The sequence below is a fragment of the Homo sapiens genome, chromosome 15 (genome assembly GCF_000001405.40).
Source record: "Homo sapiens chromosome 15, GRCh38.p14 Primary Assembly".
Lineage (NCBI taxonomy): Eukaryota > Metazoa > Chordata > Mammalia > Primates > Hominidae > Homo > Homo sapiens.
In genome coordinates this window covers 63,132,138-63,157,704 of record NC_000015.10, presented here as the reverse complement: position 1 = coordinate 63,157,704, position 25,567 = coordinate 63,132,138, and the positions used below count along the sequence as shown (strand labels likewise).

General features: G+C 40.3%; 2 protein-coding genes across 2 annotated transcripts in view, besides 5 other annotated features; one reads left to right on the top strand and one right to left on the bottom strand.

Moving 5' to 3' along the window:
- Positions 105–764: an enhancer, noted in NCBI's record as "active region_9526". NCBI's record gives its function as "activates an Ori minimal core promoter by ATAC-STARR-seq in GM12878 lymphoblastoid cells {active_cell/tissue: GM12878}" and the evidence as "EXISTENCE:reporter gene assay evidence [ECO:0000049][PMID:35858748]".
- Positions 105–1,488: a biological region, named in NCBI's record as "MED14-independent group 3 enhancer GRCh37_chr15:63448416-63449615".
- Positions 136–709: an enhancer, noted in NCBI's record as "H3K27ac hESC enhancer chr15:63449195-63449768 (GRCh37/hg19 assembly coordinates)". NCBI's record gives its function as "activates a minimal SCP1, AML or CMV promoter by ChIP-STARR-seq in naive and primed H9 embryonic stem cells {active_cell/tissue: H9 hESC(naive and primed)}" and the evidence as "EXISTENCE:reporter gene assay evidence [ECO:0000049][PMID:30033119]".
- Positions 228–9,456, top strand: RPS27L (ribosomal protein S27 like). The gene is made up of 4 exons (NM_015920.4): positions 228–305; positions 1,184–1,292; positions 1,974–2,084; positions 3,645–9,456. Exons 1-4 carry the CDS (start codon positions 300–302, stop codon positions 3,671–3,673), a joined length of 255 nt encoding a protein of 84 aa, NP_057004.1. The 5' UTR covers positions 228–299; the 3' UTR covers positions 3,674–9,456.
- Positions 289–1,488: an enhancer, noted in NCBI's record as "MED14-independent group 3 enhancer chr15:63448416-63449615 (GRCh37/hg19 assembly coordinates)". NCBI's record gives its function as "activates an origin of replication core promoter dependent on BRD2, BRD4, P300/CBP and CDK7 cofactors, and independent of MED14, by STARR-seq in HCT116 cells {active_cell/tissue: HCT116}" and the evidence as "EXISTENCE:reporter gene assay evidence [ECO:0000049][PMID:35650434]".
- Positions 915–1,004: an enhancer, noted in NCBI's record as "active region_9525". NCBI's record gives its function as "activates an Ori minimal core promoter by ATAC-STARR-seq in GM12878 lymphoblastoid cells {active_cell/tissue: GM12878}" and the evidence as "EXISTENCE:reporter gene assay evidence [ECO:0000049][PMID:35858748]".
- LACTB (lactamase beta) overlaps positions 15,644–25,567 on the bottom strand; it is a 20,201-nt gene continuing 10,277 nt past the window's right edge. The window contains exon 6 of the mRNA NM_032857.5: positions 15,644–16,425. Coding sequence (NP_116246.2) covers positions 15,900–16,425 — 526 coding nt within the window. The 3' untranslated portion in view covers positions 15,644–15,899. The remainder of the gene's footprint in view (positions 16,426–25,567) is intronic.

Here is a 25,567-nt window from a genome sequence, read left to right as displayed (position 1 = left end):
CAGATTCTGGCCTCAGGCACTGCAGAGCCCGCGGCGCTCGCCAACAAGCCCGTTAGACCCACGGGACTTGGCACCCTGGAACGCTCACCATCCCCGGGTCTTCCCTGCGCCCTGGACCCGAGTACCCTGCTGCGGCGTCCCCCTACCACCGAGAGGAGGGCCTAGAGCAGACAAGCCCGCCCCGCCGCTCCTCCCAGCAGCTTCTATCCCGGAAGTTGATGCCGAGCGCAGATCGCTTGCAGCTTGCTAGCTGTGTGGGCTGGGAGGTCTGGTAGGGCTGAGCTTGCAAGAGGATCAACATGCCTGTGAGTTGTTTACATCGGGCTCCGGGTTTGTTTTGGGCTTCTTTACCGAGAGTCATATGGGACGGATGAGTCCGGCTGCCTCTCGGGCCTGTAGTGTCCGAGAGTGGCGAGGCGGCTCAGGTTGCGCAGCGTCTTCGCGCGTGGCGGGCATGTAGTGACTTGCCCGGTCACCGCGGCGCGGCTGGCCCTGCAGGGGCGTGGGCTGCAATTCAGAGGCGGTGGCTGGGAGGGGAACAGTTCTCTGTGTAGCTTATGAGCGGTCTTGGTCTTTGAGGATGCCCCTGAGGTTGTGATCTTTGGGTCTTTTGGCTTTCCCAGTGATTGGTGTTTCTCGCCCCCTCTGCCTTCTTTCGGAAGCGATTTCCTACTTGTTTTCCTTTTTTAAAAACTGTCCTCGTTGTTGCCTTATATATTAATTCCGTCAAGGACGGTCGCTCAGCAAGAATTCCTGTCAGATCAGCTGTTGAGCCACAGGAGCAAAAATCACCCAGGCGCTGACGTTGTCTGGTCTACTTCAGCAGTTTCTACTCTAAGCGAGTCCACAGTCGGGGTCACTTTCTTTGCTTAGCACCTCGACTTCGCGCAGTTTTCATCGAAGACAGTTCATTACGCAGTTGAGTAAAGAAGGACAAAGTTTGCCTTACCATATGTTTCCTGATCGTGCGAAAGCCCTTTTCTAGGGACTTGGAGAACACAAGTATTATGAAAAGTACTGATGAAAGTTATTAACAGGTTTCGAAAAATAACTTTACTATCTGACGTGTTGCTTCTGCCGAGGATGACCGTTATTCCTGTTTTTGCATGTATATTTCACGTATGGTTAAATGTGCCAGCGTTGTGGTTTAAAACTAATAGTAATAATATGCTTCTTTGTTCAGTTGGCTAGAGATTTACTACATCCGTCCTTGGAAGAGGAAAAGAAAAAACATAAAAAGAAACGCCTAGTACAAAGTCCAAATTCTTACTTTATGGATGTAAAATGTCCAGGTAAAATTTGAAATCTTAATTCCTTTACTAAAGAAAATTTCTGTAGGGATTGCTAGTGTGGTGTGTATAGTTAAGATACATTAGAACCCTCTGTTGAGTAGAAGTGGGATTACAGAATTGGAAATGTCAGGGACATTTTCATAATAAATGTACTGAAACCATTGTAGAAACATTTCGGGGTAAGTGAAAACAGGCATTCAAAGGAGATATGCCATTTGACTTAGCAAGTCTTTAAGCTCTTCAGACGATGAGTTTTCTGTTTCATGATACAAAGAAAAGTCTGTTGATTCTTCAGTCTAAAGCTGTGCTGCCCAATACAATGGCCATTAGCTGAATGTGGCTACTGAGCACTTGTGGATAATCAAAATGTGGATACTCAAAATAGAGATGTTCTTTAATTGTAAAATACTCACTGGATTTTGACGATGTAGCACAGAAAAAAAATACATTGATTACATGTTGAAATGATATTTTGGAAATATTAAGTTTAATGAAATATATTATTGATTTTACCTGTTTTTAAAAAATTTTGTGTCGCTGCTAGAAAAGTTTATGTTACACATGTGGCTTGCTGTTTCATAGCACTGAAGTTACTGATTTTTTTACATATTACCAGAAATGTCGAACAGGTGCTGTTTTCCTCTGCTTTTCATTTTTAACATTGCCTTTTTTTTTTTTTAGGTTGCTACAAGATCACCACGGTTTTCAGCCATGCTCAGACAGTGGTTCTTTGTGTAGGTTGTTCAACAGTGTTGTGCCAGCCTACAGGAGGAAAGGCCAGACTCACAGAAGGTATATCATTTGGCATTCTCCAACCCAGTGATGAGATTGATGATTATAAATGTCTCTATCTTCACTGAAAAGTTTAAAGAAATCTTAATGATTACCAAAATAACTTATCTTTCATTGTGTGCTTTCAGTAAAGAATGGCCTGTTCAAATGGATATATTTATACTCTTGACCTTGCAGTGAACTCCATTGACTTATTTTTCTTAGTTTAGAACACATTTATTCACTTAGTTTGCTTAACTTGGAATAAATTAAGTCAGAATAGAAGCAAAAGAATAACTACATGTTATAGGACATGCAGATTTATTTATTTATTTATTTATTATTTTTTTTTTTTATTAGGAGTCTCGCTCTGTCACCCAGGCTGGAGTGCAGTGGCGCCATCTCAGCTCACTGCAACTTCTGCCTCCCCGGTTCAAGTGATTCTCTTGCCTCTGCCTCCCAAGTAGCTGGGACCACAGGCGCGTGCCACCATGCCTGGCTAATTTTTTGTATTTTTAGTAGAGGTGGGGTTTCACTGTGTTAGCCAGGATGGTCTTGATCTCCTGACCTCATGGTCTGCCCGCCTCGGCCTCCCAAAGTGCTGGGATTACAGGCATGAGCCACCTCGCCGGCCAGGACATACAGATTTTTAAAACCATATAGAATTTTAAAATTTCTTTTACAAAATTTTGTTCCATATATATTTAGTACATATAATAGTTTTTTTTTTATCATTGCCAGCTAAGCAACAGATAGCTAATATATAAGTTAAAATGCCAGAGATTTTACTTTTATGAGCAACTGCAATGATTAATATAAAAACCTAATTTTAATTCCTCTTTCACTTTAGTGCAATAAGAAAAAAAAATTATATATATAGTTTCCATAGTAATACTTGTAAATTTGTGATTCCATAATGATGTTATAAATTTGCTTGTGATATTTTGGGGAGCTGTAAGTTCCATGCTCTCACTGGAAGAGTTCAAGTGGATTGGCAGCAAATCTGAGATCTATTTGGTGTGACCTGGTGAGATCTAAATATGGAGTCAGCACATGATTTTTTTAAGAGTAATATTGCTAAGTAATATTGCTAAGTATACTTGGGAGATTTTTGAAACAAAGTATGTCATGTCATGATTTTGGAATTTAGTGCCCATATGCTGACAGATGGTTTAATGGGTCTATCTGTTCTAGAGTTTTCCTAATAGGTCTGAAAATACCTCTAATCAAAATTATTTACTTGAGAAAAGTATTCAGAATAGTTCCTAAAAATTAAGAGTATATCTTCTGACAGCTTGCTTGAAACAGTCTTCACTGTTGAATTCAGGCTCATGGTCTTAAGTAGACTTCATTATAGCATTTGAGAAACAGGAGTGACACTTATAGTCATACCAGAGTAAACTCAGATATGATAGATGTATTATAGCAAATTTCTGGTATAAAAGGATAAATAATCTGTATATGAGTATTAATCCAATATTCTTAAAACTTCAGTATTTTACTTAAAAGTACTTTTTGTCATTAAAATTATAGCAAAGGTAGAATGCACTTGTTTAATATACTCTCATGATTCTTTTGCAGGGTGTTCATTTAGAAGAAAGCAACACTAATGATTCAAACAGCTTCCTGAATTTTAATTTTGTGTTGTCTCACAGAAAGCCTTATCATAAATTCCATAATTCTAATTAATTTACCAAGATAATGTAATTACATTTGGTTTTGTAAGGTATACAGCAGTAATCTCCTATTTTGGTGTCAGTTTTTCAATAAAGTTTTGATTATGGGCAAATCCCCTCTTTTTCTTTTTTTAAAATATATTTGAGTATGCCATACATTTATATATATGGTGTATATGAATTTGGTTTAAACATTTTAAAATTTATTCTGATTAGTTTGTGTCTTTTTTTTTTTTTTTGAGAGAGAGAGTCCTGCTCTGTCACTCAAGCTGGAGTGCAGTGGTGCGATCTCGGCTCACTGCAACCTCCGCCTCCCAGGTCCAAGCAATTCTCTTGCCTTGTCCTCCCAAGTAGCTGGGATTATAGGCACACACCACCATGCCTGGCTAATTTGTGTCTCATTTTCAAGAGTAGAAACCCTAAATATTTTATTTTCATTCCTTTTCCAAATTGCTATGAATGGGATTAAAGGATTACAGATGTAAAGTCTATTATTTGTGAATTCTAAATGTAGTTCTGCTGTTGTACCTGTGGAAACATCTTAAAGAAGTACATATTTTGCACGTCCTGCACGTGTACCCCAGAACTTAAACTATAATTAAAAAGAATAGTTTCAAAAAAATACATATTGATCACAGTGTAATGCCTTGGATTTATGTGGCCTTGCTATACTACTATATAATTTAGGACAGTAACTGCTAGCTGGGGTGTGAGTTATTTATTGGAAGCTCCTTTTTAGGGTAGAAAATTTGAGGAGAAATCTGAAGTGGCATGATTTACCCGCAGAAGTCCTGGTTGGGGATAGTAGATGGTGTTGAATTCTCTGGCCCAGATAGGTGAGCACTCCTGACTACAGATGTGTGTTGAGTGGTTCTGGTGCCTGCCTCATTGTCATTTTCATAGTTTATGAAGTAATCCTGGGGAGCTGAGACGGGGAGTGTATCCACTCACTATACAACTCCTCATTGGACTAGGAAGATAGTCCAGTTTCTACTCTGCTTCTATTTGATTTGTTACCTTGTGGCAGGTATTTAAAACAGGCATTTCCTATCAACAGGTAGGCCTCTAATGTGAGCAACTGATCCTCTTACATACTGCTTAAATCAGAGAACTGTTGCACAAGAACTAAAGAATGATGGCAAGTTTGGGGTGTATATAGTTGTATAAGGAAGGCTGGGCGCAGTGGCTCACACCTGTAATCCCAGCACTTTGGGAGCCTGAGGCAGGTGGATCACCTGAGGTCGGGAGTTCAAGACCAGCCTGACCAACATGGAAAAACCCCGTCTCTACTAAAAATGCAAAATTAGCTGGGCGTGGTGGTGCATGCCTGTAATCTCAGCTAACTCGGGAGGCTGAGGCAGGAGAATTCGCTTGAACCTGGGAGGTGGAGGTTGTGGTGAGCCAAGATCGTGCCATTGCACTCTAGCCTGGGCAACAAGCACGAAACTCCGTCTCAAAAAAAAAAAGAAAAAAAAAATATATATATATACATATATATGTAGATGACCCAGAGATTCTCAGACTTTTAGTTTCTGACATCATTAGAATCTCAGTAATTTTTTTCAGGCCATTCCTTGGCCAAAAGAAATACCTAACAGTTACATTTATTAACTTATGTTCTAACAACTCTAGTAGCCATTTGAAAAAAACTATACACACACAAGAGCAAAAGTGATGTGATGATTTTTTTAAAAATAGAGACAGTGTCTTGGCTCTATTGCCCAGGTTGGAGGGTCATAGCTCATTGTGACCTCAAACTCCTGGGCTCAAGCAAGCCTCCCACCTCTGCCTCCTGAGTAGCGGAGACTTCAGGCACGTGCCACCACGCCCGCCTAATTTTTTTGTAGAGATGGGGCTCTGGCTGTGTTGCCCAGGCTGTAAGGAACTCCTGGCCTCAGGTGATCTGCCTTGGCCTACCAAAGTGCTGGGATTACAGGTGTGAGCCACTGTGCCCAGCCTGATGTGATAATTTTTATCTCATCCTTAAATCATCACAGTTACTAATGGAATGTGTGTGCCTTTTGGGCTCCATACAGTTTCTCAAAATTGAAATCAGATTGGACACCATTGTCCTTATTTCTTCCACATTGATTTTTGCATGGTGCTTTTTGTCATAGCAGTGGCTCCAAACCCAGCTTCACAAGGATAGGATGCCATCAAAGGGAATGTAGTGCCATATCATATTGAAACTGAACTTCCTGGAACTAGTAGTTTATACAAAAGATGCGTCAGTGTCAAGTGTTTTTCCTGAGGTACTCCAAGGCACTTCAGCTTGCACAGTTTAGGATACTTGGCTATAAGGAGAGACAGTGGGATGACAGCTTTTGATGAGAAGGAATCAAACCTATGATGAGGACTAATCTAACAAACCCTGAAAATTCCCTTGGAAGTATTTTTTAAAAAAGGATTATACTTTAAAGACCACATCTAAGGGCTGGGCGCGGTGGCTCACACCTATAATCCCAGCAGTTTGGGAGGCTGAGGCAGGCAGATCACTTGCAGTCAGGAGTTCGAGACCAGCCTGGCCAACACAGTGAAACCCCGTCTCTACTAAACATACAAAAATTAGCTGGGCGTGGTGGTGTACACCTGTAGTCCCAGCTACTTGGGAGGCTGAGGCACAAGAATTGCTTGAAACCAGGAGGCAGAGGTTGCAGTGAGCCAAAATCGCACCACTGCACTTCAGCCTGGGTGACAGCGTGAAGCTGTGTCTCAAAGAAAGAACACATCTAAGGATTTACATGGCATTGGGAAACGAATGGTGTATTAAGTTTTACTTTATTATTAATCTAGATGGTATTACTGGTTTTGAAAAGTGCTGAATAGGACACCAGGACTTTCCCAAACTTCAGGGTCAGCCACATACATTATTATATACTGAATGTTTTAAATATTATTTATATTGACTTCATATTTTAATGTAAATATATTTGTAAAGGAAACCTTCCATAAACTTAATATAAATTTATTTTTAGGGGAAGGCTTCCTAAATGGAAAAACCAGTTACATAAAGATAGCTAAAAATAGGCCGGGCGCAGTGGCTCACGCCTATAATCCCAGCACTTTGGGAGGCCGAGGCGGGTGGATCACGAGGTCAGGAGATCGAGACCACCCTGGCTAACACGGTGTAACCCCGTCTCTACTAAAAATACAAAAAATTAGCCGGGCATGGTGGTGGGCGCCTGTAGTCCCAGCTACTTGGGAGGCTGAGGCAGGAGAATGGCGTGAACCTGGGAGGCGGAGCTTGCAGTGAGCCAAGATCACGCCTCTGCACTCCAGCCTGGGTGACAGAGCAAGACTCCAGCTCAAGAAAAAAATAAATAAGCTAAAAATAAAATGAAATTCTTGGCTTCTGGCCTGATGAGATGACAAATGGTTTTGTGTCTGGTCGTTCCTGTAAGTCATCTGATAAAGCTCTAATTCCTTTCTGTTTTATTTTTCTGGAGATATGATTCAGATACTATAAAATCCAAACTTCTGTGATGTAAAAGTCAGTAGTTTTTACTATATTTACAAGGTTGTGCAACCATTACTACTGTCTAATCCCAGACCATTTTCATCACCTTAGAAAGAAACTTCATACCTATCAGCATTCACTCCCTATTCTTCCCTCCTCTCAGCCATTGGCAGCCACTAAGCTACTTTTGTCTCCATGGATTTGCTTCTTCTCAATATTTCATATAATGCTATTTCGTATAAATGGAATCACATGGTATGTAGCTTCTGTATGTTTCACTTAGCATAATGTTTTCAAGGGCTGTCCATGCTGTTGCATGTATCAATATTTCATTCCTTTTTTTGACAATATTCTGTGTAATAATATACAATGTTTATCCATTCATCAGTTGATAGATACTTAGAGTGTTTTCACTTTTTATTTATTTATTTTTGAGATGGAGTCTTGCTCTGTTCCCTAGGTGGAGTGCAGTGGCGTGATCTCAGCTCACTGCAACCTCCTCCACCTCCCAGGCTTGAGTGACCCTCTGGCCTCAGCCTCCCGAGTAGCTGGAACTACAGGCACGTGCCACCACACCCCGCTAATTTTTTGTATTTTTTGTAGAGATGGGGTTTCGCCATGTTGCCCAGGCTGGTCTTGAACTCCTTGCCTCAGGCCATCCGCCCACCTCAGCCTCCCAAAGTGCTGGCATTACAGGTGTGAGCCACTGCATCCGGCCAAATAAAGTATTCTTAATGACATCTGCAAAATCCATTTTGCTATGTAAGGTAACATATTCGTAGGTTCTGGGGATTAGGGTGTGGGAATCTTTAGAGGGCCATTATTCTGCTACCACAGAATATAAAGTTGTAAAATTCTACCCCATATTTGGAAACTGAGATTCTTAAATTATGTCTTTGTAATTCTCTTTTTTCTTTTTCTTTCTTTTTTTTTTTTTTTTTTGAGACGGAGTCTTGCTCCGTCGCCCAGGCTGAAGTGCAGTGGCGCAATCTCAGTTCACCGCAAGCTCCTCCTCCTGGGTTCACGCCATTCTCCTGCCTCAGCCTCCAGAGTACCTGAGACTACAGGCGTGTGCCACCACGCCGGGCTAATTTTTTTAAAGTATTTTTAGTAGAGATGGGGTTTCACCGTGTTAGCCAGGATGGTCTCGATCTGCTGACCTCGTGATCCGCCTGCCTCGGCCTCTCATGTCTTCGTAATTTTCCATGGAAAAAAACTTAAATCTTTGGAAGGAATAGAGTACATTATTGCATTTTACAAAGAAAAGGATAACTTTTATAGAATAATGACCTTGTATTCTTTTAGGATTTTACAGCTACTTTTTCACAACTATAGGCATAGAAAATGACATCAGGGGCCGGGCGCGGTGGCTCACGCCTGTAATCCCAACACTTTGGGAGGCCCAGGCGGCGGATCACGAGGTCGAGATTGAGACCATCCTGGCCAACATGATGAAACCGCGTCTCTGCTAAAAATACAAAAATTAGCTGGGCGTGGTGTCGGGCGCCTGTAGTCCCAGCTACTCGGGAGGCTGAGGCAGGAGAATTGCTTGAACCTGGGAGGCGGAGCTTGCAGTGAGCCCAGATCGTACCACTGCACTCCAGCCTGGGCGACAGAGCAAGACTGTCTCAGAAAAAAAAAAAAAAAAAAAAAAAAGAAATGACATCAGGTCATGGTGTTTGCTATTGATCGACACTTAAATAGCCTTTGAATTTTGTTTCAAAGGAGATGCCAGAATTGCAAATTTTCTCTGCTGATTTGTGTCCTACTGATTCTGGCTCGCTTTCCCCCTACACTACTAGGGCTACTCTCACTTTCACACCTAGCAAAACTTCACCTTTCAAAGAATTTAGGCAGAATAGTCCTAATTTAGTTAATAAGCTTTCATTTTAAATCTTAGGGAAGCAGTGTTAGTTTCAGTTATTCTATAGGAACAGAAATTGGAGCTGCCACAGCCTTTTGAACCAGAGCCCGGCAGACCCTCAGCTTCAGCCCTGCTCAGTGTTTTGTGTCTATGAAAGTCTTTTTAATTTTCTCATTACACATTTTATATATCATGCTATGTATTTAGAACAGAGGGGTTGTGTAAGATTATGACTCTATGTTCTTTATCTTGTCTTTGTATTAATTTGAAGTTGTGTTTTTTCTTTATTTGTAGCCAACTAATTAAAATACCAACATATTTATTTTTATTCATTTTTATGTGACAAACTTTTAAACTGAAGACTGCATCAATAAAATTGCATGCCATTAAATATGACTTTTATTGGATTGGTAAATTTTTAGAGATGCCTTTTTTTTTTTTTTAGACAGAGTCTTGCTTTGTTGCCCAAGCTAGAGAGTGCAGCGATGCGATCTCGCCTCACTGCAACCTCTGCCTCCTGGGCTCAAGTGATCCTCCCGCCTCATTCTCCCAAGTAGCTGGGACTACAGGCCCATGCCACCATACCTGGTTTATTTTTGTATTTTTTGTAGAGACAGGGTTTCACCATGTTGCCCAGGCTGGTCTCAACTTCTGGGCTCAAGTGGTCCGCCCATCTCAGCCTTCCAGAGCGTTGGGAATACAGGTGTGAGCTACTGCGTTGGCCTAGAGATGCTTTTTATGGGAAGTCACGATAATGGTTAAAACAGGCTTTAGAGTCAGATATGTGTGGGTTTGAAACAAGTGCTAGTTAATGGTTTGTGACCTTGTGAAAAAATAATAATATTTCTACTTAATAGAGTTATGTTGAAGGTATAATGAGATAGCATATACAAAGAGCTTAGCAAAATGCCTTCCCCACAGTAAGTGCTCTGTTAATAGTTTGTGTGGGCCAGGCGCGATGGCTCACGTCTGTAATCTCAGCATTTTGGGAGGTCAAGGCGGGTGGATCAACTGAGGTCAGGAGTTTGAGACCAGCCTGACCAATACGATGAAACCCCGTCTGTACTAAAAATACGAAAATTAGCCGGGCGTGGCATGTGCCGGTAGTTCCAGCTACTCAGGAGGCTGAAGCAGGAGAATCACTTGAACCTGGGAGGTGGAGGTTGCAGTGAGCCGAGAACGCGCCATTGTACTCCAGCTTGGGCAACAAGAGCGAAACTGTGTCTTAAAAAAAAAAAAATAGTTTGTGTGGTATTTTTTTTTAAGTGGAAAGCAGTCATGTCTATTCAACATCAAGTACTTTAATGTTCCATTTTTTCCCTAAAGTGATTTACCCACCTTACCACCACACTGGAGCATAGATATGTTAACTTTTGCTACAAAACAAGTCACCCCCAAATCTAATAGCTTAAAATGTTGACTTATTACTATTTCTCATGAGTATATGAGTTGGCTGCTTACTCTGTTGGTCTCATCTAGGTTCACTTACACAGCCACCTTCACCTGGAGGCTCAAATCATAGGTCTGGCAGCTGGTGCTAGCTGTCAGCTGGGGCATCTCTGTTCCCCTCCACATGGTCCCCCATCCTTCAGTAAGCTAGTCTGGCTTCTTTACATGGCAATCTTGGGGTAGTGTTCTTAGAAGGTGGCAGACAAAAGCTTGAAAGCCACTTAAAGCCTATGCAGTGGGACTTGTGCAACATTATTTCCACCACATTCAGTGGGTCAAAAAGCAAATCATAAAGCAAGACCAGATTCAAGAGAGTGGAGAAAGAGCTCCACCTTTGGATGGAAAAAGCAGCAAAATCACATTGCAAAGTTGCATGCACAATGGAATGAGAGGAAATCGTGGCCATCAAAGAATTGGTGGTCGGGCACGGTAGCTCATGCCTGTAATCCCAGCACTTTGAGAGGCTGAGGCAGGAGGATTGCTTGAGTCCAGGAGTTCAAGATCAGCCTGGACAATATTGTGAAACCCCTACTCTACAAAAAATTATCCAGGCATAGTGGAGTGCACCTGCATTTCTAGCTACTCAGGAAGCTGAGGTGGGAAGATCACCTGAGGCTGGAAGGTCAAGGCTGCAGTGAACCATGATTGTACCACTGCATTCCAGCCTGGGTGACAGAGTGAGACCCTATCTCTAAATAAATAAATAAATAAAAATAAAAGAAAATTCCAAATGGGGGCCCAGGCATGGTGGTTCATGCCTGTAATCCCAGCACTTTGGAAGGCCAAGGTGGGCGGATCACTTGAGCCCAGGTTACAGTGAGTTACGATCATGTCACTGCACTCTAGCCTGGGTGCCAGAGCAAGATTCTGTTTCTAAAAAATAAATAAATTCCAAATAACATAAAACACTAACATTAAAGAAACATTAAACATTTAATGTTAAAATAACATTAAAGAAAGGCATGACATTTTTATGTTTATCTAAGGGCACGGATTGAAAACTTGACAAACATGAATACAGGACCTAGAGATCAGAAGTCAGAAAGAAATAAGGAGATGAAATGGATCTGTTTTAGAGAGCTGCTCTCTTTCTACTTCAACCAACTCAGAGATATCCATCTATTTACTTGTATAAAGTGTTAAGGGAAGAAACAGATTTAGGGCTCAGAATTATAGAAAAGCCCTTCCTTTATTAGGGTGTATAAAAACTTTGATTTCTTTTTGAATTTTCCTGAGTTCAGTGGCACACTGGTAATCTCTAGTACACATGATCTGTGGCTGTTAGAACAAAATTCCCCAATACGTTAACACTGCAGCCTCCAAAATGGCTCCCAATGATCCCAACCTTCTGGTATCCACTCCTTTCTACAGTCCTCTCCCACACCAAATCAGGGTTGGTTTCTGTAACCAACAGAATTTGGCATAAGTGATGGCATATGGCTTCCAAGGCTGATTTATAAAAGACATTGAGGTGTTTCCCTGTTTCTTCAATCGCCTGCTCTAAAGGGAAGCCATAGCACAGACAAGCAGACCTATGGAGAGGGCCATGTGGTGAGAAACTGAAAACTCTTGCCCAAAGCCAGCAAGCCACAAAGACCTCTTGCCCATGGCCACGTGGGTGAATCATTTTGGAATCAGATTATCCAGCCCCAGTCAAGCCTTCCCTCAGATGCCTGAAGCCCCTGCTGACATCTTGTCTACAAACTCATGAGACCCTGAGCTAGAAACACCCAGCAAAGCTGCCCCCAAATTTCTGAAACACAAACTGTGAGACAATAAGCTTTGGGGTAATTTGTTATGCAGTAATAGATAACTAATACACATTATACTACAGGAAAAAGCTCAAGACACAGAAGGCCAGATATGGTGTGATTCCATTTATATGAAACATCCGTAACAGGCAAATCCAAAGAGATAGAAAGTAGATTGCTGGTTACCAGGGGCTGGAAGGACAGAGGAATGGGGAGCAAATGCTAATGGGTATGAGGTTTCTTCTTGGGGTGAAAATGAATTGGATAGTGGTAATGGGTACATAATCTCGTGACTATACTAAAAACCACTGAATTGTACACGTTAAAGAATTTTATGGCATATGGACTGTGAATTATATCTAAATTACGTGTGTGTGTGTATGTGTGTATGTATTTGGAACAGAGCAGCGGATGGAAGTTGGAAGGACTTTAAGGAAAGTGTTAATGAAAACCTGAAGAGCCTTGAAGAAATTGTTGAGAAGTATGGCCTTTGAAGAGGCTGCAGGTGTAGTCTTAAGGAAAGTAAGAGAAATCTTATTGGCAATTAGAGGAAGGGATTCTTGTTTAGTACTGACAGAAAATTTAGCAACACTGTCGCCAGGAGTAACTCAGAAAACAGAAAATGTGCCTAATGAATTGGGTGACTAGCTGATGGGATTTCCATATGCAGTGTTTTTTTTTTTTTGTTGTTGTTTTTTGTTTTTTTGTTTTGAGGCTGGGTAATTTATAAAAAGAGGTTTATTTGGCTCACGGTTCTGCAGGCTGGACAGGAAGCATGGTGCTGGCATGTGCTTCTGGTGAGGGCCTCAGGAAGCTTACAACCATGGCGGAAAGAGAAGGGGGAGCCCGGATGTCACAGGGCAAGAGAAGGAGCAGAGAGCCATACACAGTGTTGAATGTGCTTCCTTAATTCTTGTTGCTTATACTAACATGCAAGAGAAAGATAAGCTAATGGAAGAACTATTGGTAAAGAATTAATAATTGATGGTTTAAAAAATTCCCAGACTCTTCAGATTGCAAATGATGCCAAAATTAAGAAATGGCTTCAAGGCAAAGATAATAATTGAGGGCACTTCCAGGAAAACATAGTCTAAAGATGATATTGAGGGCATGACTATACAATCCTTTCTCAAGACTTCAAAATGAATCAACATGGTGCTTCAGAGAACTATTTAAACAATAGAGTTCATTAGATTATTAGCGTAATTAGTTCTTCCCATTATCTTGGCAGAGACAAGCCCCAAGTTAGAGAGGGGATATTCTGAAGGGACTTTGGGGTGGCTTTTGTCTACTGGCATAAACCCCAATAAAATTCACAGGATACTCTTAACATTTTAAAATATTATATTGTCAGTTAATAGGGTTGCTAAAAAAAATTCAAAAATTAGAGAAATAAAATATTATATTGGCAGAACCACTGTTAACTTAGATGGAAAGGAAAGAGAGTATAAAAAGGCCTTTGGGTCTCCAAACTTCTACAAGTGGAAAGCACACTGAGAAAACCACTCAGCTAGAAAGATACGCTACCTTTCATGAAAAAAAGGTATGGGGAAGCGGCCAGGCTTAGTGGCTCACGCCTGTAATCCCAGCACTTTGGGAGGCCGAGGGGGGCGGATCACCTGAGGTCAGGAGTTCGAGACCAGCCTGGCCAACATGGTGAAACGCTGTCTCTACTAAAAATACAAAAATTAGTCGGGAGTGGTGGCACGCACCTGTAATCCCAGCTACTCGAGAGGCTGAGGTGGGAGAATTGCTTGAACCCAGGAGGCTAAGGCTGCAGTGAGCCGAGATTGTGCCACTGTACTCCAGCCTGGGTGACAGAGGGAAACCCTGTCTCAAAAAAAAAAAAAAAAAAGTAAAAAAGAACAATTAAAAAAAGTATAACTCAGGGGCTGGGTGCGGTGGCTCATGCCTATAATCCCAGCACTTTGGGAGGCTGAGGTGGGTGGATCACTTGAGCCCAGTAGTTGAAGACCAGCCTGGGAAATATGGTGAACAGCTGTCTCTTAAAAAAAAGAAAAAGTATAACTCGTAAGGTAGAACTAAGAGCCCAGAGAACATAGCCAAGAACTAAGAATTATTCTGAAGCCTTGAATACTAATCAGAGTTGCCAACCTCTGTCTGACTGAATTTCAGAATTGCCAGTCTCCTGTATGTCTTCCACTTCCCTACTTTTTGAAGAGGACGGTATCTAGCAATTATCCTATATCTGCTGTGCTACGGTATGTTACACATATGGGGAGCAAATAACTACAGTTCACAGGTCTTAAGAGAAACTACTTGAGTTGCTGTACCTAAGGAACTCATCCCAAGGAGCCCTCATTCACACTTGCACCTGACCTGATTTAGATGATAAGATACTGGGCTTTGAGCTGATGCTATATTAAGGTGAAACTTCTGGAGGATTTGAAAGGAGGTAAGAGTATTTTGCATTGGGAAGGACATAAATCATTGGGGACCAGAGGTCAGACTGTGGTACCCAACTTCCAAGTTGACACCCAGTGATTCCTGCCTCCTAATATTCACAATGTATATAATCTCTTCAACATTTATTAGGCCCCATGTAACCCATGGAATTTGGCAAATGTGATGGTATGTGACTTGAGGCTAGTTTATAAAAGAGTGACTTCTGCCTGGCACTCTCTGTCTCATCACTTACTCTGCGGGAAGCCAACTACCATAAGATACTCAAGCAGCCCTACAGAGAGGTCCATGTGGTGACAAACTGAGTCCCCTTGCCACCCACCAGCCAGAGAACTGACTCTTGCCAGCAGTCATGCAAGTAAGCCATGTGGAAGCATTTCCTCCAGCCCTGGAGAATTCTTCAGATGATCATAACACCTTGTCTGCAACCTCATTAGAGACCGCGCCAGACCCACGTGACTATATTGCTCCTGATTTCCCGATTCCTTCTCTGAACGTTTCTTTTAAGCTGTAGTGGATAACTAATATACCATTTCTCATGCTTTTGTTTCTGCTCTCATATTAAAAGGATATTTGGGCTGGGCACAGTGTCTCACGCCTGTAATCCCCAGCACTTTGGCAGGCTGAGGCGGATGGATCACCTGAGATCAAGAGTTCGAGACCAGCCTGGCCAACATGGCGAAATGCTGTCTCTATTAAAAATTCAAAAAGTGGCTGGGCATGGTGGTGGGTGCCTGTAATCCCAGCTACTTGGGAGGCTGAGGCAGGAGAATCGCTTGAACTCAGGAAGCAGAGGTTGTGGTGAGCCAAGATCACACCACTGCACTCCAGGCTGGGTAACACAGCAAGAGTCCATTTCAAAAAAAAAAAAAAAAAAAAAAGAAAAGAAAAAAAACCTCGGATATTTGGAGGCTCCTGTTGAATGAGATTTTCTCTGTATTACACATGCAGAAAGTACATATTTTATCAGAATATTTTATTTCAAGAGTTAACACTTTTTTCAAAAAGTAAAAACAATATAATTACTTCCCTGAGTATAAAGAACCAATTCTACAATAAAAGACCATTACAAAATTAAGCAATTAGAGGTACATAATTCTCTGCATTCAGTTATACTCTATTTCAAATTTATTCTTAAAAATGTCATGTTTTGGAACTTTAATGTTTCAAAAAAACCTCAGAACAACTCATTTTGCACCTATGGTGTTAAGGTTATCAGTCTGATCTGTCTTTATCAAATTCAAGGGCAATCTTCAAAGCGGTGCTATTGAGGCCAACAGATTGCATGTTACATATGATAGAAACAATGATTCCTCTTGGGGGAACCTTGTTATTTATAGTCTCTGTATCCAGTTCTTCAGGAAGGACCAGCAGGACACTACTGGCACCCACTGCCCCTCCAGTATGTGAAGCATAATGCCGTTGCTTTCTACACGAACCATACGTTTGTTTCCTTTCCACAACACCCCACGCCATTGCATATTTACCCTCTTTATCCCAAGACATCTCTGTGTTAGGGACTGGGGTCCACATCATAACCATTGTTTCTGGTTTGAGGTATCCAGGTAAAAGATTTTCATTTGAGTTCTTAAACAGCCCAACTTGGTAACCATAAAGCATTGCATTCCCAAATTTCAGAAGGTCACCCACTGTAGACAGAAATCCACCACCAGCCCATTTATAGGAGTTATCCACGTAAGGTGTGTTGACAAGACGTTTCTTTTTATTGTAAACATAAAATCTAAAAGGAAATAAGAAATGATCATGAAAAATTTCATAGTCACTGGCTTCACACATGATGATAGAAAAATGTATACATGAGAGAGATTGTATTTCAATGTAATGATCATACATTCTCAGAAACTATAAACTAACCACTAATTTTCAGTATGATTCAGGTCCTAATGACACACAGATAACTAAGTAAGATAGTCTAATTACCTTTTGAATTAAAGCATAGAAAGTGGTTTTTTTCTATTGGTATGGCTTGTCCATGCTGAGTGTATCAAACCTTTAATACCTGCAAAAATGTATTGGTTAATATTACACATGACATATTTGCCCTGTGCATATGGAGAAAGTTATCATTTGGTAGATATTCCTTGTCCTTGGGGTTAATGTTGCATCGTGCCACAAATGAATTTTATAACCAAAACTGTAAACATCCAAAGCACTTTGGGATGTTTAGGAATAAGGTTATTTGTAAGATGACTAGATTTCTTGGATAAAAATACCATATAAGCTGGGTGCAGCAGCTGGTGCCTGTAATCCCAGCAACTCAGGAGGCTAAGGCAGGAGGATCACTTGAGCCCAGGAGTTTGAGTCCAGCCTGGGCAGCAAAGCAAGACCCTATCTAAAAAAAAATTCTAAACAAAATACCATATACATATCATATATAATGATGTGACATGGTAGTTTCTTGGTGCAGTGGGAAAGGCTGGAGTTAGCAAACCCTAGTTTGAATCCTTTCTTCTTTTTTCAAGATTCTTATACGTCCCCTAAAAGTACAAGTCATAATATTGAGTGAAGTAGGGTTGGCAGTTAGGAAATGAGTGGCCACAGGTATGTGTCTGAAGATTTTAAAAAAGAGGTGGTTTTCTCATTGTCTCAAAATCAACATGTCTGTCATGTTTCTCTCCATTAAAACCTTCATTATACAACTTTTAATGACTTTCTTGCCCTAAACTCTCACATCCAGTAAGATGCTAAATCCTATTTATTCAATCTCTGCTTTGTGTCTTACCCTTCTCCCTTCCTTCTATTCCTATGACAACTCTCAAATTTTAGGCCCTCATTACTTTGTGTCAACTCCTGATTATATTTGTAATTCCAGCCAACCAAATAAAATTAAATCTAAAAGTTACATAATAGAAACACATTTTTTCATTGAGAAATAAATTTCTACTTTTCTTTTGAGACAGAGTCTTGCACTATTGCCTAGGCTGGACTGCAGCGGTACAATCATGGCTAACTGTAGCCTCAACCTCCAGGGCTCAAGCAATCTTCCTGCCTCAGCCTCTTGAGCAGCTGGGACCACAGGTGTGTACCACCATACCTGGCTAAGATTTTTTTTTTTTTTTTTTTTTGGTAGAGATGAAGGTCTCACTGTTGTCCAGCCTGGTCTCGAACTCCTGGCCTCAAGCAATCCACTCGCCTCTGCCTCCCAAAGTGCTGGGATTACAGGCATGAGCCACTGTGCCCAGCCAATAATCAGCTTTCTGTAACTTCTTTTTTTTGAGACAGAGTCTTGCTCTGTTGACCAGGCTGCAGTTTGGTTCTCCTGCCTCAGCCTCCCCAGTAGCTGGGATTACACGTGCTGCCACCATGCCCAGCTAATTTTTTTCTGTATATTTACTTATTTATTTTTGAGACAGACTTTCACTCTTATCGCCTAGGCTGGAGTGCAATGGCGCGATCTTGGCTCACTGCAACCTCCACTTCCCGGGTTCAAGTGATTCTCCTGCCTCAGCCTCCCGAGTAGCTGGGATTACAGTTGTGCGCCACCACATCTGGCTAACTTTTATATTTTTAGTAGAGGTGGGGTTTTGCCATGTTGGCCAGGCTGGTCTCAAACTCCTGACCTCAGGTGATCCGCCCACCTTGGCCTCTCAAAGTGTTGGGATTATAGGCATGAGCCACCATGCCCGGCCTATTTATTGATTTTTGACACTGAGTCTTGCTCTGGTGCCCAGGCTGGAGTGCAGCAGCACAATCTCAGCTCACTGTTCCTGGGTTCAACTGATTCTCCTGCCTCAGCCTCCCCAGTAGCTGGGATTACAGGCATGCACCACTATGCCCAGCTAATTTTTTTTTTTTTTTTTTTTTTGGATTTTTAGTAGAGACGGGGCTTCATCATGTTGGCCAGGCTGGTTTTGAACTCCCGAACTCAGGTGATCTGCCTGCCTCGGCCTCCCAAAGTGCTGGGATTATAGGCGTGAGCCACTGTTCCTGGCCGATTTTTTTTTTTTTTTTTTTTTGAAACAGAGTCTTGCTCTTTCACCTAGGCTGGAGTGCAGTGGCACGATCTCGGCACACTGTGATCTCTGCCTCCCGGATTCAAGTGATTCTCCCTCAGCCTCCTGAGTAGCTGGGATTACAGGCGCCCACCACCACGCACAGCTAATATATATATATAGTATTTTTAGTAGAAACGGGGTTTCCCTATGTTGGCCAGGCTGGTCAGAAACTCCTGACCTCATGTAATCTGCCAGCCTTGGTTTCCCAAAGTGCTAGGATTACAGGTGTAAGCCACTGCGCCCAGCTCTGTAACTTCCTTTTAACAGTAAAGCATTTCAAACCACTTACATTAAGACTGGAAACTAGAACTCCTCAGTCATTCCTCCTTTAAATATAAAAATATGGAGACTTCTAGACTTTATAATTCTAGCTTTAATAAGCAAATTCTAGATTTTAATCTCTTAGTTCCTTTTCACATAGGACAAATTAGTACATTTTTATGAAAATAATTTTATTCAGCTGAAAGATAAACTTTACCATTTCAAATTCCTAGAACATTTCTGCTTAAAAGAATATAGACACAAGTTCTTGACTAGGTTACTGAGACATTTTTGTAACTAACTGATGGGATGACGCCAGATGACAAACAGCTTCTTCATACTTATTTATAAGAATCTCCAGATTCTGCACAAGAATGTTATATCACCACAGAAATCTACATCTACAAACTTAGAAACTAAAAATACTTTTTTTCAAGGGTGGGGGGACAGGGTCTCACTCTGTCACCCAGGCTGGAGTGCAGTGGTGTGATCCCAGGCTCAGGTAATCCCCCACCTCAGCCTCCTGAGTAGCTGGCACTACAGGCACACACAACCTTGCCTGGCTAATTTTTGTATTTTTTGTAGAGAGAGGGTTTTGCCATGTTGCTTAGGGTGGTCTCGAACTCCTGGGCTCAAGTGATCCACCTGCCTCCACCTCCCAAAGTGCTGTGATTACAGGCATGAGCCACTGCGCCCAGCCTTATTTTTAAAATGCTTCTTAAATGTCTTTAGAGACAATATTCATCACTTGGTATTTATTGTTATAAGAAGTTTGAAAACCAACATAATTTCAAATGCATGTTATAAAAACAATCCCACTTTAACATTTAGTATTAACATTTGAATTGAACTACCAGTAGAGAGTCTGTCAGCTAAAGGCATGAAAAAGAGCTTGATATGGAACAATTCTTAATTCTAGAAGACACTTTAGAAATAGAAGGTAAAGGCCATATTTATACTGTCAAAATACAGCCAAAGTTGAGAGAAGGTGGGGGATGGTTAACGGGTACAAAAGAAACATAAATAATCAATAAGATCCAGTATTTGAGAATACAACATGGTGATTATGGTCAATAAAAATTGTACATTTTAAAATAACTAAAAGAGTAGGATTGGATCATTTGTAACACAAAGGATAAATACTTGAGGGGATGGATAACTCATTTTACACGAGTGATTGTTTTGCAGTGCATGCCTGTATCAAAACATCTCACGTACCCCATAAATATATACAGCTGCTATGTACCCATAAAAATTGAAATTAAAAATTTTAAACATTAAAAAATGCAGCAAACACTCCAGAAAATATTCATTTTATTTGGTTTTCATCCCATCTAGTTATAAAATTAGAAATTTTTGTTGCAAACATTGTGCCAAACACATAAAAAATATGGCCAAGTTCTAATAATAAGCCGAGGCATTGACTGAGGATTCCCCTATCAACAAATTGAGTGTCTTTCAGTGGCAAGAACATTCACTGAGCTCCTTTGTGATGTTCACTTACTGGGTTATTTAGTGTACTTGCCTATACAGAGTATATTTGCTACACAGAATCAGTATAGTTATGTGCCTAAACAGAAACAGTGTCCCCACTGTTCCATTTAAGAAAATCCCAATTTTATTCAAGACAACAACATATCCAGTTAAAAACAATTCTCTTGCCTCCCTTACAGCTAAGTGTGATGTTGTGACTCAAATCTGAGCAAAAGAATTTAAGTGCTATTGTGAGGTGGGATTCTGGTGAGATACTTTTAAACAGGTGACAGACACCGTATGGTACTATTTTAAACACATGCATAAACACACAGAGAAGTGATAAAGAAGAGAAATATTTACTCCTGGAAACATAGTAACTCTAAAAAGCCTTAGTCAGGATATTATAAACAGGTTTATGGTTATACCCAACAAGTCAGTAGACTACATAACGAAGCTGGAAACATTTTTTTCCCCTCAAAATGGTACCATAAAACAAATGAATCCAAACATATATATTTATTAAGTTTTACTTCAAGGTTTTATTTTTGCCTGTATCTTTGAAGAGATTCCTTTTACTCCCTGAACTCCCCCAAAAAGCTGGTGCCTTTAAACTCCTTTAAAATAATTATTACAAAAAAGAATCAGAGTTGAGTTTTAGAGGCCCAAATAGATACTGTATCAAATAAAATAAATAAAGCAAACAGACAAAACATTTTCCTAGGTAACAATATTTCCTCTTTTAGTGCCCTATTTTATTTCAGCAGCCCATTTTATCTAACTAAAATGAATCAACTACCCTTTAGAACCATCGAGAACTACCAAAAATTAAAACAAGACAAAACAAAAAAACCAAACCAAAAGCATCTCAGAGCTGATAGGGACCCTTAACACTAGAGATAGAAACCCATCGCCTTTTTTCAAAGAATAGAAAATAAAATGAGCTAGGCTCACGCCTGTAATCCCAACACTTTGGGAGGCTGAGGAGGGAGGATCATTTGAGGTCAGGAGATCAGCCTGGGAAACACAGCAAGATCTCATCTCTACAAAAAAATTTAAAAATCAGCCAGGTGTGGTGGCACACATCTGTAGTTCCAGCTACTTGGAAGGCTGATACAGGAGGATCACTTGAGCCAGGGAGTTCAAGGCTGCAGTGAGGTATGATTGTGCCACTGCATTCCTGCCTAGGCAACAGAGTGAGATCTTGTCTCAAAAAAAAAAAAAAAAAGAAAAGAAAATGAAATTGACTCACCATCATATGGCATATTTTGATTTTTGCGCAAGTCACAAGTTAATTACTCATCAAGAAAACAGGAAATAATAGCTGCTCTGCAGTCTGCACATTCACAGAGACTTAATTTCTAGCTTAGAAAAGAGGCTCAATGAGTGGACATAACGTCCTTCTCCCCCTTATACACAGAGCTAGACGTCCATTTTCAAACTTTCAGATGTCTAGATCTAAATCATAGTAAGGTCATACATCCATGCCATCTTTACTAGAGAATCTTTTTTTAGATTCAACTGACAACTTCTGGTATTTGTCTTTTGTTTTTGAGACAGGGTCTCATTCCATCATCAGGTTAGAGTGCAGTGGCATGATCACAGCTCACTGCGGCATCAACTTCCTGGGCTCAGGTGATCCTCCCCGCTCAGCCTCCAAGTAGCTGGGACTACAGGCGCATGCCACCATGCCCGGCTGATTTTTTTTGTATTGTCTGACAGGGTTTCACCATGTTGCCCAGGCTGGTCTTGAACACCGAGGCTCAAGCAATCCACCCCTCTTGGCCTCCCAATGGTATTTATCATTTTTCTTGTGCTTTCCAGTAAAATATAATGCTAGATCCAAAAATAATAAACACAAAGAGTCTGAAGTAGTTGAGAACCACAGGCCATTTAAAAAATTAAAATTCATTGCTTGTTGCTAATCTAATTTATTTTGGGTCCCCAAGAAATCTCTTTTAGGCCACAAACTGATTTGCAATGCATATTTAATCCTTTTAAATAAGCTGATAATTGAACAATTATAATTTAAATACAACAGAAGATTGAACAAAACTAGTATGTAGATAAGAACACAAAGCTAAAAAATTTTCCAAAAAAAGCCACCATTTCATCTATTTCTTTATAAAGTACAATTAAACCATTTGTAAAGCATGTACTAATGGAAATATGCAAGGTAAAAGTAATAGTTGATTTGTTAAATGTGCTACCTTTCTAACAAATCAAATAATAAAATGGAAAATAAAATATAACTGTAAAATTCCTATCAGTAATTAACATTCAAAATTCTCTTCCAAAGCCCCTTTCACAAATTACTAGCAAAAATTATAATAAAATTTTAGTTTGACATAGTCCACTGAATGGCTTTCAAACTTTTTTTTTAACCTCAACCCACAGTGAGGAATATATTTCTCCTTTTGACTGAATGAAAACACACACACACACACACACACACACATCACACACACATCACACCCTTCTAAAACAGAAGTTTTATGGAGCAACACAGTGGCCAGTGGCATAGATGGCTGGTTGTTCACAAAATTGACTCTTCTTCATTAGTAATAAAGTAAAGCAAGGCACATGCCTGCTCAGCTACAAATTACATTTCTCAGCCTCCCTTGTCGCAAAGTGTGACCATACAGCTAAGTTTTTGCCAACAGAAGGTGGACAGAAATGAAGTGTGACACTTGCAAGTCTGGAGACCTTAAGGCCCTGAGTACATGCTCCATACCCTTTCTCTTTTCAGGAGGCTGGGGCACCTGCAGGGCTGTGATTGAGCTTCAGGTGTACAGACAGGGACACCACTGTGGAGAGAGGAGCAGTAAGATGGATGAATCTGGCCTCTTAAAGGCTTGTGGGGAACCAATCAGAACAGCTCACCTCAGGAATGCTGCAAGGGGGAATTAAACTTTTATTTTCCTCACGCCACTGCATTTTGGTGCCCCTTTAATGCAGCAGCCTAACCTTTATCCCAAAGCTTATATTTACCTTTACTACCTGCAATGTACTTTATCATATTCTATTCTATTTTTTTCCATTAAAAAAAAAGAAATCCTGGTACTCAACCCACTAAACTGATTTTCCAACTCAATAATTGGACATACAAACCTACAGTTTGAAAACCACTATGGTATGAAGAGAGAGGAGTAAACAGATAAAAATCAGTAAAGAATACAAATACTTAAAAAACTGAATTAATTCTGACCACAAATAATCAAGATATAACTCAACTGGCCATTTTATAAACTTCTGACTCACCCTCCTAACATTTGACACAACTGCCCTTTCATAAGTATTTTGTTCTTTCTGAATTAAAGTATTTTTGAAAAGTTACCAAGTATTTGCTTTCCAAATACTTTTTCCTCTAATAATAAAACCCCAAATTACTTTAAAAAGTCAAACAAATCTTTATCGCATTTGCTAATACTGTGTCTCAAATTTTTCTCTACAAAATAAGCTCAAATGTTTATAATTTTAAAATTCAATACTTCCATGTGTGTTTTTTGAAGTATACCAGTTCAGACAAGAAATCTGTATTTAGTTCACATTACTTTAATCCTGTCTCATCTCAGCTGAACATGGAAATTTTTTAGCACTTTCATATAGTCTTGTGCTTGTTTTATTTAATTAACTAAGTAATTAATTAACGTTTAGAGACAGGATCTTGCTTTGTCACCCAGGCTGGAGAGCAGGGTATAATCATAGCTCACTGCAGCCTGAAACTCCAGGGCTCAAGTGATCCTCTCCTCCTGATTAACTAGGACCGCAGGTGTGCGCTACTATGCCCGCCTAATTTTTTAAAGAATTTTTGTAGGGATGGGGTCTCACTCTGTTGCCAAGGCTGGTCTCAAACTCCTGGCCTCAAATGATCCTCCTGCCTTGGCCTCTCAAAGTGCTGGGATTACAGGCATGAGCCACACAGCACCTGGCCAGAGTTATTTTAGATTATGTAAATTAGTAGTTAAAACTCTAAGTCATAGAAAATGTCTCCATAAGAGAAAGCATAAATTAAAATATAAAATTTGTAAAGGCTAAAAAGCTGACTAAACCCTTTCCTATTATAGTGGTAAATGAATCAAATATGAAATTATATAAAATCATAGCATTTTTCACTCCTAAGGGTAAAAATTCTAGTTAACTTGTCAAAATCTGTTCTAAAGCCTCTCCATAAAATATTAAAGTCTGCTTAAGCAATTTGCCTAGAATTTTGTTTGAACACCCAATTCAAATTTACGTAAGTAACTTCAACTTGATAGTTTATATTTAAAAGCTGTAAAAGAAAATGGAGAGAAAATGTCGTTTAAATGTTTTAAATCTTAAAACTTATTAAAAAGTACCTAAGGATGCCTCACTGTAAAACAGTGTTTATACCCAGATAGTTTTTAAGTGTTCAATTATTTTAGATATTGCTTTGTATTTTTATAATATATCAAAAAAAAATTTTTTTTAAATGGGGTCTCGCTCTCTTGCCCAGGCTGGAGTGCAGTGGTGCAATCACAGCTCAGTGGAGCCTCAAGTTCCCAGGCTCAAGTGATCCTCCCAACTCAGCCTCCCAAGTAGTCAGGACTACAGGTACACACTACCATGCCTGGCTAATTTTTTTTGTACTTTTGGTAGAGATGGGGTGTTACCATATTACCCAGGCTGGTCTTGATCTCCTGAGCTCAGACAATCCACCTGCTTCAGCCTCCCAAAGTGCTGGGATTACAGGTGTGAGCCACCTTGCCCCGCCCCCAAAATCTTAATTACTCTTATTAATGGCATGTAGCAGAGGTCTGCATAATCCAAATAAGAAGAGCATTTTAATGTTTACTATCAACACACACAAAATAAAGCAGAAAATCATTCAATTAAATATCTACACATATACATAAAAAAGAACAAAATCATGTCCTTTGCAGCAACATAAATGTAGCTAGAGGCCATTATCCTAAGTGAATTAATGTAGAAACAGGAAATCAAATACCACATATTCTCACTTGTAAGTAGGGGCTAAACACTGGGTACACGTGAACATAAAGATGGAAACAAGAGACACCAAGGACTCAAAAAAGGGGGACGCAGGGAGGAGGGCAAGGGTTAAAAAACTACCTATTAGGTACTAAGCTCATTATTTGGGTGACAGGTTCA